This window comes from Homo sapiens, chromosome 16 (genome assembly GCF_000001405.40).
Source record: "Homo sapiens chromosome 16, GRCh38.p14 Primary Assembly".
In the NCBI taxonomy this organism is placed as follows: Eukaryota; Metazoa; Chordata; class Mammalia; order Primates; family Hominidae; genus Homo; species Homo sapiens.
The window spans coordinates 67,755,077-67,768,218 of record NC_000016.10 but is presented as its reverse complement, the minus strand read 5'-3'; the positions used below and the strand labels follow the sequence as shown (position 1 = coordinate 67,768,218).

Sequence of the window (13,142 nt, the reverse complement as noted above, 5' to 3'; positions counted from 1 at the left end):
GACAGGGTTTTGCCATGTTGCCCAGGCTAGTCTTGAAGTGAGCTCAAGCAGTCCACTCATCTCGGCCTCCCAAAGTGCTGGGATTACAAGTATGAGTCATCATGCCTAGCCGTATGTTCTTTTTTCTTTAATAAAAACCTTTTTTTTTTTTTTTGAGACAAGGTCTTGCCCTGTTGCCCAGGCTGGGGTTCAGTGACATGATATGGTTCACTGCAACTTTGACCTCCCAGGCTTAAGTGATCCTCTCACCTTAGTCTCCTGAGTAGCTGGGACTACAGGTGCACACCACCATGCCTGGTTAATTTTTAAAATTTTCTTGTAGAGGCAGGGCGCGGTGGCTCATGCCTGTAATCCCATCACTTTGGGAGGCCAAGGCGGGTGGATCACAAGGTCAGGAGATCAAGACCATCCTGGCTAACACGGTGAAATCCCATCTCTACTAAAAATACAAAAAATTAGCCGGGCGCGGTGGTGGGCGCCTGTACTCCCAGCTACTCGAGAGGCTGAGGCAGGAGAATGGCGTGAACCTGGGAGACAGAGCTTGCAGTGAGCTGAGGTAGCGCCCTAGCACTCCAGCCTGGGTGAAAGAGCGAGACGCCGTCTCAAAAAAAAAAAAAATTGTAGAGACAAGGTCTCCCTGTGTTGCCCAGGCAGGTCTCTAACTCCTGGGCTCAAGCAATCCTCTCATCTAGGCCTCCTAAAGTACTGGGATTATAGGCGCGAGTTACAGTGCCTGGCTTTTTTTTTTTTTTTTTTTTTTTTTTGAAACAGGGTCTCGCTGTTGCCCAGCTTGGAGTATAGTGGAGTGGTCACGGCTCACTGCAGCCCTGAATTCATAGGCTCAAATGATCTTCCTGCCTCAGCCTCCCAAGTAGCTGGGACTACAGGTGTATACCACCATGCCTGCCTAGTAAAAACTGTTTTTGTGTCACCCATTGAGTTTGAGATCCATGGAGTGGAGTAGACGAGGTGAGAGGTGTTCAGAGTCTGCTGGGCTGATCTGAGTCTCTTTGAGATGGGACCATATGGAGCCAGCCTAGTCTGTTTCTCTTTTTCACAATATGAGACTTAACCTCTCTGGGCTGGTCTGAAGCCAGCTACTGGTCATGTCCTTTGACATTGCTAATACAAAGCTGTAGGAAAATCTATTTTCCTCATGGGTGCACTTCTCTTTGGCAAGGGAAAGGGGCCTAACTGTTCAGTGGATATTGCACTTGTCTTTGTTTCACTCTGCCTGCCAACTCCTCAGGGTTTTCCTTCCTGCCATATCTGATCATCTCCCTGATTGTCTTTAAGGTGGAAAGGAGGAATCAGATTGCATCTAGATACCACTTCTCCCTGGGAAGGATGGATGCCCCTGGCTTTTCCAGAATACAGGGCTAGCTGAATGTCCGGTCAGATCCAGTACAGGGCAGGTGGGAGGATGGAGTAAAGGGCACCCCTCTCAGGGGTGATAGTGGGCCTTTTTGTTAGTTTGTGTTCCTGTCAAGGAATACCTGAGGCTGGATCATTTATAAAGAAAAGAGTTTTATTTGGCTCATGATTCAGGGCTGTACATGCCTAGCTCCAGCATCTGCTTCTGGTGAGGGCCTATGGAAGCTTAAAATTATGGTGGAATGGAAGGGGAGCTGGTATATCACATGGCTAGAGAGAGCAGTGTGGGGGCGGGGGGTACCAGACTCCTTTTCAAACAACCAGATCTCATGTGAACTAATTACCGCTGGGAGGGCACCAAGCCATTCATGAGGAATGCTAGTGTAACCCAAACACCTCCCACCCACCAGGCTCCATTCCATCATTGAGAATCACATTTCAACAGGAGATTTGGAGGGGACAAACATCCAAACTGTATCAGCTTGCCGTTATTCATTGCAGTACTGGGTTTTGAAGTCGGAATCCCTTTTGGTGCTTTCCAGTTTCTGGGATCACTTTTTTATTTCTGGTGATGAGCATACATTTTGCAAAACCGAAAGCATCATCATTCATAAACAGAGATGAAGGTCCTGGTATTTTGGTGGGGAGGTGGGATGGAAGACGACAGCAGCTAAAGCCTTTCTGCCAGCCGCTGCTGATTTCCAAGAGGCTCTTCGTTGAGATGCAGGTCAATTGGATGGTTCAGATGTGTGGTTGGTAGGAGGCAGTAGTGGTGGTGGCCTAGGCTGGGTCCAGATTTTGAGACTTTGGTGTTTGTTTATTTATTTATTTATCTGAGACAGGGTCTTACTCTGTCTCCCAGACTAGTGCAGTGGCACAGTCACAGCTCACTGCAGCCTCAACCTCCTGGGCCGAGTGCTCCTTCCACCTCAGCCTCCCAAGTAGCTGGTACTACAGGCACATGCCACCATGTCTGACTTATTTATTTATTTATTATAATTTATTTATTTAGATGGAGTCTTGCTGTGTTCCCCAGGCTGGAATGCAGTGGCGCGATCTCGGCTCACTGCAAGCTCCGCCTCCTGGGTTCACGCCATTCTCCTGCCTCAGCCTCTCGAGTAGCTGAGACTACAGGCGCCCACCACCACACCTGGCTACTTTTTTGTATTTTTAGTAGAGATGGGGTCTCACCGTGTTAGCCAGGATGGTCTCGATCTCCTGACCTCGTGATCCGCCCACCTCAGCCTCTCAAAGTGCTGGGACTACAGGCGTGAGCCACTGCACCCAGCCCCGACTAATTTATTTATTTATTTTTTTGAGATGGAGTTTTGCTCTTGTTGCCCAAGCTGGAGTGCAATGGCACAATCTCGGCTCATCGGCAACCTTCGCCTCCCGGGTTCAAGCGATTCTCCTGCCTCAGCCTCCCGAGTGGCTGGGATTACAAGCACGCACCACCACGCCCAGCTAATTTTGTATTTTTAGTAAAGACAGGGTTTCTCCATGTTGGTCAGGCTGGTCTCGAACTCCCAGCCTCAGGTGATTCACCTGCCTTGGCCTCCTAAAGTGCTGGGATTACAGGTGTGAGCTACTGCACCTGGCTAATTTATTTTTTAATGTTTTTTTTTTTTTTTTTTTTTTTTTTTTTGAGATGGAGTCTTGCTCTGTCACCCAGGTTGGAGTGCAGTGGTGCAATCTTGGCTCAGTGCAACCTCCGCCTCCTGGGCAAGTGATTCTCCTGCCTCAGCCTCCCAAAGTGCTGGGTTTACAGGCATGAGCCACTATGCCCATCTAAGTTTGCTGTTTTGACCGGTACTTACACATCTTTGTGCAAAGTTCTTGTTTTTGCTTCTCGTACTATTTATGAGGAGTGTTAATGTTTTAATATAGTTAAGATGTTCAAGTTTATAGCCGTTACATTTTATTGGACTAGACTGTTTTTGGATTTCATTAGCAACATGCCTGTTTCTTTGATGGCCTTATCAATCAGACTTTTATTAAATGTTCCAAAATGTTCTACTGGCATTTCAGATTGATAATGTGTTGCATAAAATCTATGGATTAGTATGGGAAACCTCAATCTTACTGAAAATTTAGTCTTCCGAACCAGAAATGACATATGTCTGTTTATTTTTACATTGCTTTATTTAATTTATAGACAGGATCTCACTCTGTCCCCCATGCTGGGGTACAGTGGCACGATCATAGCTCACTGTGACAGGATTGACAAGCCCTATGGGAGGTGATTCAGCTGGACTTGGTGTCTTCACAGTAGATTATTAGACTGCAAGCTACGAGGAGTGTGCCTCTAGAGTGTTCCTGATAATTTGTTTTAAGAATGCTTTTATTAATAAAATGGCCTGGCAATGGCCATTTTATTACTATTTTTTTCTCTGTTCTGGCTTCTCGGTACAATGGCCATTTTAGATACTGAGTCTCAGTGTTGTTAGGAGCAAGTGGGCAGGATGTGAGTTAAGCGGCCCTTATCTGAGTCAGCCCAAGAAAAGAGGTTAACTTAGAAATTCTACCCTTGGCCTGCCCAGCCGCTGCTGTCTTAGAAGTACTTGGTCTTTAGCCTTTTATGAGCCCTCGGAAGAGAGGCTTGGGACGAAGGAGAGGCCCAAGTGTGGAACTAAGCCCCTTTTCTTCTGGGACCTGATCTGGTTGAGTGTTTGAAACCAACAAGAACTGATGAGACTGGCCTGAGAGAGCCTCTGCCTCTTTCTCTCTGAAGTAAGTGTTTCTTGAATATAGAGGATAATCTGCATCTCCCTGATTTCCACCTGTACATTGGACTGCTCTTTTCTCTGTTCCTCTTGGGTCTAGTTCCTGATTAAAATATCCAGTACTTGGTTGGACGCAGTGGCTCATGCCTGTAATCCCAGCACTTTGGGCGGCCGAGGCAGGAGAATCATTTGAGGTCAGAAGTTCAAGACTAGCCTGGCCAACATGGTGAAACCCTGTCTCTTCTAAATGTACAAAAAAATTAGCCGGGCGTGGTGGCGTGCGCCTACAGTCCTAGCTACTCGGGAGGCTGAGGCAGGAGAATCGCTTGAACCCAGGAGGCGGAGGTTGCAGTGAGCCAAGATGGAGCCACTGCACTCCAGCCTGGGCAACAGAGTGAGACTCTGTCTCAAACAAACAAACAAATAATCAGATACCTGAGTGAAGTGGGTTATGGGGGTGGTAGGGACAGGACTCACCTTCCTTGAGGGACCCAGAAGACTTGTGAGGCCTATGAATGATGGCTGTGCTTTGCCAGACCCTGAGAAAGCAGGGAAGGGGCAGCTGGTGCCCTCAGCAGGAGTATTCAAGCCACTCCGCTCATTGCACCCTGCCCTTGAGCAGATCCCACTTCCAGAAACCTGAGTTCTTTGCTCCAGGTCCAACAGAGGTGAACCCACTTGCCCCAGACTGGGGTTATTTTCCTGCAAAAACCGGATCCTCGTGTGTTCCCCATCTCTGCTGACAGCCACTGTCCACCTTGGCCCCCAGGTGGGACTCCTCAGAGTAATCTCATGTCCTCCCTCTCCCTCAGCCGTGGTTCTGCTGCTCCACAGATATCTCTTTAATCTGGCTTCTGTCTCCGCCCCATTGCCATGGCCTCTCCACTGGCAGTTTCCATGATCTGCGCCACAGGCCTCTGCTCTCCTCTCTGTATGCACTGTGCCCCTTCCCTGCTTTGGGCCTCTGACTCCTCTGCCCAGTGGACAGTCTCCTGCTCAGCCTCATTTTCCTATACCTCTGCCCTCTGCACATGCCACACACCAGCATGGCTGTGTAGGGTGCCAAACATGCTGCTGACACTCCCTGCTCTGCCCCTTGGCAGATGTCCTTCTTGCCCTGGGACTGCCCTTCCTCCTTGATCCCCACTCAACCTTGTCTGACCCCTTCAGCCCTGACCATGTCTGGGATGACACTTGCCACCCTGCCTGGTGTGTGTCTTTCACATTTACCCAGAGTGTCCTCACTGGATTGTGAGCTCCTTGGGACTCCCCCATAGTGAGCACAGCACCTGGCATCATGCACTTGGGCTTTGGGATGAGTTGTTTCTGCATTTTGCTGTGCTTTGCCTAAGTGTGTTGGGCTTCAGTAAATTGCATCAGGCTCCATCAGCCTGCGGCCTGCCTAGAGCTTGAAGCTGTCATTTGGAGCTCAGCCTCACCCCACTGCCCTAATCATTATGGCACTGATTGTGTGTAGGGGCTCTGCTACCACTTTCTACCTGGAGGAGTAGTGACTGCTCCCTTTTCTGTATGTCAGGACTAAGTGTCATTGAATCCACTCCTGACTCACATTTGGTCATATGGGGAAATAGACATCAAGGGCTGTGGTCAGCTGGTGGAGCAGAGCATGGATTCTGGAGCTATACCACCTGCATTTGCATCCTGGCGGCTGTGTTACCTGGAGTGAGTTACTTTACTGCTCTGCCTCATTTTCCCCCTCTGTAAATGAAAGTGATACTAGTATCTAACTCATATATAGGATGGTTATGAGGATTGAGTTAATTCCTGTAACATGCTTAGACTAGTGCCTGACACAGAAAAGGGGTACATAAATATTAGTTATTCTTACTTTTTAGAGATTGGGATCTCACTCTGTTGCCCAGGCTGGAGTACAGTAGCATGATCATAGCTCCCTTGTAACCTCAGACTCCTGGGCTCAAGTGATTTTCTTGCCTCAGCTTCCCGAGTAGCTGGAACTACAGGCACACAACCACCACATCTGGCTAATTTTTGTTTGTTTGTTTTTTATTTAGAGATGGGGTCTTGCTATGTTGCCCAGGCTGATCTTGAACTCCTGGCCTCAAGCAGTCCTCCTCCTTTGGCCTCCCAAAATGTTGGGATTACAGGTGTGAGCCACTATGCTCAGCTGTATTAGCTATTCTTATTATTGGGAAAAGGTGTGTGTTTTTTTTTTCTACCTGAAGAAGGAAGTACCTATATATTTAAAGTTCTTTTATAAATGTTTATGTATGTCCGGGCACGGTGGCTTACGCCTATAACTCCAGCACTTTGAGAGGCCGAGGCGGGCAGATCACTTGAGGTCAGGAGTTCGAGACCAGTCTGGCCAATGTGGTAAAACCCCGTCTCTACCAAAGATATAAAAAATTAGCTGGATGTGGTGGTATGCGCCTGTAGTCCCAGCTACTCAGGAGGCTGAGGCAGGAGAATTGCTTGAACCCAGGACGTGGAGGTTGCAGTGAGCCAAGATCGTGCCACTGCACTCCAGCCTGGGTGACAAAGTGAGACTCTGTCTCAAAAAAAATAAAAAATAAAAAATATATAAATGTTTATGTGTTAGAGTGGAGTTAGGTATCATTGAAACTACCTTTTCTCTCAAGTGCTTGGTCTTCTGTGTTTGAATAGGCGTGTTTAGTACGGTAGCTGTAGTCAAATTATAGAAAAAGATGGCACAGCAATCAAAGTCAAGATGTTGATGTTTTGAGTGTTTTCTTGTAGGTTGCACTGGCTCAGCAAGGACATCTTTGCCAGTAGAGCTGTTAGACGCAGAGGGCAGACACCCTGGGGTCTTGCTTGGAACCTGGGGCAGATGATAACAGAAAGTCCCTCTCCAGTGAGGCTGTGGTGCTCAGACTTTCCTGGGAGCCTATGGGCATGTCTTAGTTTGCATGGTCAGAGGTTTCTGCTGGAAGATGTGGAAGTTTTGATGTTTATCTTTTGCAAGGTGTTTTTTGGCCTTCTTAGGTGTGAAACCAAGGAACGGGTGTGGCCCCAAAATAAAAATGTCAGAACTCTTGGCTAAATGACTCGGAAGCAGGGCAGGTGAATCCAACTGCAGCCCCACCCTGGTGTCGGTGAGCTGGCAGGGAAGGGCAGAGGCCAGGGTACTGGACTGGGGAAGCAAGAAGACGAAGTCAGGGTTGTTGATGGAGAGAGTGGGGTTTGGGCGTCTCCCAGGCTTGGCACTTTAAGGGGGTGGGAGAAAGACAAATCTTGCTTCTGTGTCTTGTGCCTCAGCCAGAGCCAGGGAGACTCAGGCTGTGTTGATAGGAGGCCCAGCTGCATCAGAGCTGGGTAGTTGATAATTTCCTCCTTGCCATTTCTGTAGTGCAGGCAGCTGTTCGCTCGGTGTGACATACATTACCGTAGTTACTACAATGCCTCAAAGCAGCATCAGGCCCGTTGAAGCATACTTTCCTTGACTGTAACTGTTGGAAAAGGAATAGCTGGAAGAACTACAGCAGGGATTGGGGATAGGGGACATACCTCCTGAAACATGTGGTGCCTGGCAACCAGGCCCTGGCCTTTGTGGGAGGAGAGGTAGGGGCTGTCTGCTTTGCTTCCACAGGATGGTCCTGATCAAGTGAGCATCTTTCCTTCCCCTAGAGCTTACCTTACCAGGCTTGCTCTGAGTGAGCTGTTAGAGGCATAGGCCCAACAGGAAGCTGCTTCTGCTGGGTAGGACACGTTCTGCAAACAGCTGATATTTCACATCTGCGTGTGCCATGGAAGAGGAACCACTGATAGCAGAGATCAGGGCAGAACACCAGGGGTCTGTGCCAGGTTCACAAGGGCAGAGGCTAGTCCCTGCCTGAGTGGCAAGCAATGAAAAGAAATAACAAGGTGTTTGATATCGTTCCTCCCTGTCCTCCTAAGAGTACAGCACATCCAGTGAAAGATGTCTCTGTTTTGAGCAAATACCAGTAGCAGGTGGCTTTGTGCGGTTGCTGTCTTAGAGATTATTGGCATGTAGATGGGTTTCTTTTTTCTTTTTTTTTTTTTTTGAGACGGAGTCTCGCTCTGTCACCTAGGCTGGAGTGCAGTGGCATGATCTTGGCTCAGTGCAAGCTCTGCCTCCTGGGTTCACGCCATTCCCCTGCTTCAGCGTCCCGAGTAGCTGGGACTACAGGCGCCTGCCACCACACCCAGCTAATTTTTTGTATTTTTAGTAGAGATGGGGTTTCACTGTGTTAGCCAGGGTGGTCTCGATCTCCTGACCTCGTGATCCGCCCACCTCAGCCTCCCAAAGTGCTGGGATTACAGGCGTGAGCCACCTTGCCCGGCCCTGACGTAGGTGAGTTTCTAGTAGTCTGGAAATGCTGTTTGTCTATACCTGCCAAATAGGCACCACTTCTTTCCTGTTCCATATAGCCTGGGACCCATGTTACAGCTGACAGTCCCTGCAGTGTCCACCATTAACACCACCTCTCTCTGGAGCATCTTTCACCTTGGGATCTACAGTACTTCACAGGGGTCTGCTGTGGGGCAGCCAGGTCCCTCTGTGAGGGAAGCCATGCTTCTTCCGAGCTGGGTGAGTTGAGCCATCAGGGCCCACTATGCTTCTGGGTGTCACTCCTTCTGGGAACAAGCCTCTGCTCCCCTGGCATGATTGGGCACTCTGTCAGCCGGTGCCTGACTGAGGCTGGTAGGGGGAAGAAACCAACTGATTGTCACCCTGTAGTTCAAGCCTATAGGGTGCCTCCAGGCAGCCCTGCCTGGAAAAGGGCTCATGACACAGGAGGGTCTCTGAATTAGCTGGAGCAGCTGTTCAGCACCAGGGCTGTGGGAAGATAGGTTGGGTTTGTGTACCTGGTGCTGCCTTGCCCCTCTCTGCCTTTCTCATTCTGTTGTTTCTCGTTCCGAGAGACCCCTGGCACATGGCCTAGATGGGAGTGAAGGAGTAGACGTCCCAGGCCTTGTAGTTCTGAGCAGCAACAGGTTTTCCAGGGCCGTCCAGAACAGAGGGTGGTTTGGTATTTGGGCCCCAGAGGTACTTAGCTGGTGATTCAAGCGGTGGCTAATGGTGTAAGTGCTGCAGGACGCTGTGGTCCATGCTGAGAAGCTTGTTTCAGATAATTTGCTCTCTGCTTCCCTGCCACTCCTCCCTGGGCTGGCAGCACCCTCGGCCCTATGGCCAGCAAGTGCGTGTTCCTTTTCTGTGGGCCTCCTCCCTGACCCACAGGAGACCTGTATCACCCCGGCACACCAGGGCTGCTCAGCAGCCTTTTCAAGCGAGGCAGCTCAGCCAGACCTAAAAAGTCTTATTCTGGGCATGGGATTCCTCCTCTATACTGTCCTGTTTTCGTCTTCCAAATACTAGCCCCCAGCCTCTCTCACAGAAGTAAACATTCTAAGACTGGATTTTTCAGGGCAAGTTAAGTCCTTTGATAGAAAAGGTTTCATCGACAGCAGAGGGCCAGTTCTGAAACCTGAGTTTGTCAGTGTCTGAAAACAGAGATTCTCAATTGTACTGGGTGAGGCTGAGGCCACATTAGGGTGAAGCAGAGCGGAGACCAGTTCCCATTCAGTCCCCTGCCTTCCTAGTGCCAGCAGAGGATCTGTATCCCGAGACCCTGGGAATGTGGGGATGCCACTCCGGGAGCTCCTTTCGAGAAGGGGTTGGCCGTCGCTCAGGACCCAACGATGTACGCAGAGCCACAGGCATATGTTACCATAGGTCACCCATCCAATGACTTTCCCAGGAGGCTCAAAAGGAGCTCGGGGAAACAAGCAAAAGCTAAACCCAGCCCTAGAAGAGAGACACCTAGCCTGGCAAGCTGATGTTGCACCTCAGTTTTGCAGGATACTGCAACACCTTTCCTAGTTCAGTATGGGTTACAGAGCCAGCTTGTCCTGTCGGGACAAGGTGTTGGCAGGTAGTGCTGCCAGATGGACCAGATGCCATCTGAGCCATGTCCTATCCAGACCCAGCTAGACCCAGCCTGGCCCCCCTGGGCCGTTCCTGGCCATCAGGAATCTACTTCTTCTGAGTGGGGAGGGTGTGATCTGTGCAAGGCCCCTTTTTCTGCAGGTGCTAGCTGTATTGTTCCTTGCCCTGCCCATGACTTCAAGCTGACACCTGGGTCCTATCTCAGTGGAGGGCCTAGGTGCCCATGGGAAGGCATGCCCCACTTGGTGTCAGCCCCTGGTATCATCATCTACCTGTAGAGGTAGCCTTTTTCTCCTGCCCCCTTTACCATGGCTTCCATGCTGAGCTACCATGAAGAGAAGACCCTGCACCCAGGGCACTGCCAGACCTTCCTACCTGCAGTGCCAGAGGCATCACCTTATGGTTGCATTGGTCCTGTTCCTTGGTTCTAAAAGCTCAGGGGAACAGCCATGGGAGTGCTGTGACAGCGGTGTTCTCTGATGCCACCCCACAGCATTTGCTGAATGAAAAAAAATCTCTTTTGCTTTCCCATTATCCATTGTTGAGCTGCTCCAGGCCGTGGGTCCTGCCAGATTTTTTAAGATAGTTGAGGTTATGGGGACAGCATCTGTCTGCTGGATTTCTGGAGAGTGATGGCTCTGTGTGAGTGACCACCCTTGTGGAGCAGCCCTGCCATGATGTCCCGCAATGTACCTGGACACGGCCCCATGCTCAGGAAGCACTCTGGCCAAGCCAGCGCAGCACTCATCCCTCCACAGCCAGCCTCAAGAGTGACATTCTGAGAGCCACTGGGCATGGCTGTTGAACCCTGCCTGGCGCTGCAAGGGTTAGATTGCTTCCCCAGGAGGCCAGAAACAAGAATGGAGCAGGTCTGGGGCTGCCGTCGGTGGCCATTCATTAGGAGAGGGGCTAGTCACCAGCTCCACCCCTACCCGCTCCCTTTGGGCAGAAGGGAGCAGAACATGTGAAGTGCCCAGACTCTACTGCAGAGCCAGGGTTTAAGATGGTGAGGAAAGGGAATCTCCCTGGTGAGACTGGAGTGCAATGGCGCCATCTTGGCTCACCGCAACCTCTGCCTCCCAGGTTCAAGCGATTCTCCTGCCTCAGCCTCCCAAATAGCTGGGATTACAGGCACGCGCCACCACGCCCGGCCAATTTTTAAAATATTTTTAGTTAAGACGGGGTTTCTCTATGTTGGTCAGGGTGGTCTCGAACTCCCGACCTCAGGTGATCCGCCCACCTCGGCCTCCCAAAGTGCTGGGATAACAGGCGTGAGCCACTGCGCCTGGCACACATTCTCTTTTAATCTTCCTGCCATCCCCGAGAGAGAGGTTCAGCCAAGGGAACTTGGGGGCTAAGAAGTGACAGAATTGGGATTCGAGCTCGAGTCTTTCTGACCCACAGTGAGTGATGACTGGGACCCATTTGTTGGGAAGAGATGACTGGCTTGGTGATCAGTGCTCAGGCTAGCTTTTTGGGGTGTTTTTTGTTTTGTTTTTTGTTTTTTTTCTGAGACAGAGTCTCACTCTTTCGCCCAGCCTGGGGTGCAGTGGTGCAATTTTGGCTTACTGCAACCTCTGCCTCCCGGCATCAAGCGATTCTCCTGACTCAGCCTCCCAAGTAGCTGGGATTACAGGCACCCACCACTATACCTGGCTAATTGTTACATTTTTAGTAGAGACGAGGTTTCACCATTTTGGCCAGGCTGGTCTTGAACGCCCGCCTCAGCGTCCCAAAGTGCTGGGATTACAGGCGTGAGTCACCGCGCCTGGCCTCAGGTTATCTTTGTGAGGGAGACGTAGCTGGCCCCTGTGTCCTGGTCAGCCGTGGGCCAGGACCAGAACCTGGTGGTCAGGCACAGCCCTAGCCCCTTGCAGGGTTCCAGACTAACTTGCGGCTTCTGAGGAAATCTTTCCATTCAGCAGTAGGAGTGTTCTCCATTCCTCACTGCCTGGGACTGAGGCCTTGGATCTGCCCTGGCAGATGGTAGTGGCATGGGTGGGCTGCTGGAACGGTCACGCTGGAGTCCCTGGCACCCTACAGGAGTCTTCCATCTCTAGGGCACTGTCCAGGGATGTTACCTGGGAGTGCCAAGGTGATAAATGATTTCTGCAGCCACCCTGGCATTTCTGTGACTGTGACTTTCTGTCTGAGTGACAATGCAGGGGGAAGTGGGTGGTGCCAGAGCATCTGCACTGGCCACCTGGGGCCTCCTGCCTGCTGGTTCAAATGTGGCTTGGTTTCTCCTTGCATCACTGGCATTTCATAGTACCTGACATGGCCGGGCATAGACTTTTGTGTATGGGTGCCAGGCTAACTGCCCATCACTTCTCTCTGGGCAAGTGACAAGGCTTATTCTCTTTGGAGACAGAAGAATGGTTAGTTGGGTGGTCCTCTCTGTCAGAGTGTTGTCCCCATCATGTGGCCTCAGGCATCCTTCTGACCCAGAGCCAGCCGGATGTATCTCCCTGCAGGGCCTGACCCAAGCAGCCATGTCCACTTGTCCTTTTTTTTTTTTTTTTTTTTTTTTGAGGCAGAGTCTCATTCTGTCGCCTGGGCTGGAGTGCAGTGGCGCGATCTTAGCTCACTGCAACCTCCGCCTCCCAGGTTCAAGCAATTCTCCTGCCTCAGCCTTCCGAGCAGCTGGGATTACAGGCATGTACCACAATGCCCGGCTAATTTTTGTATGTTTAGTAGAGAAGGGGTTTCGCCATCTTGGCCAGGCTGGTCTTGAACTCCTGACCTCAGGTGATCCACCCACCTCGGCCTCCCAAAGTGCTGGGATTACAGGTGTGAGCCACCGTGCCCAGCCCACTTGTTCTTTTCTGGCCCTCACATCCCAGTCCCCTCTGAGACAGCCATCTCTGGCCTCATAGTGCAGGTCACAACTCTCACTTCTAGGCACATCTCCATCCTCTCTCTAGACCCACCTAGGGAGGGGTGCATGTTTAGAAAGTTGCTGACTTTGGCTTCAGGGTGGGAGTGGGAAAAGGGTTGTCCAGTTCTGAAGCAGAAGTTGGTGGGGCTGGAGGGGCTGCTCACCCAGGCATAATTGCTGGACCCCCCCTTAATGGGAAGGGCAGCACCCTAGGCATGGTGCTTGGTGGTTGGGTCGGGAAGGAGGAGGTGGCTTCACC

General features: G+C 50.8%; 1 protein-coding gene across 7 annotated transcripts in view; it reads left to right on the top strand.

Moving 5' to 3' along the window:
- RANBP10 (RAN binding protein 10) overlaps window positions 1–13,142 on the top strand; it is an 83,491-nt gene that overhangs the window by 38,342 nt on the left and 32,007 nt on the right. Inside the window, exons 4-6 of one of the 7 annotated variants that reach the window (NM_001320240.2) lie at window positions 4,720–4,866; window positions 5,635–5,780; window positions 8,487–8,646. The exons of 5 other annotated variants lie outside the window; for them this stretch is intronic. The gene's annotated coding sequence lies outside the window, so the exon portion shown is untranslated. Of the gene's footprint in view, window positions 1–4,719; window positions 4,867–5,634; window positions 5,781–8,486; window positions 8,647–13,142 lie in introns of those variants that run through there. One more of the 7 variants, XM_047434409.1, reaches the window with a different exon arrangement.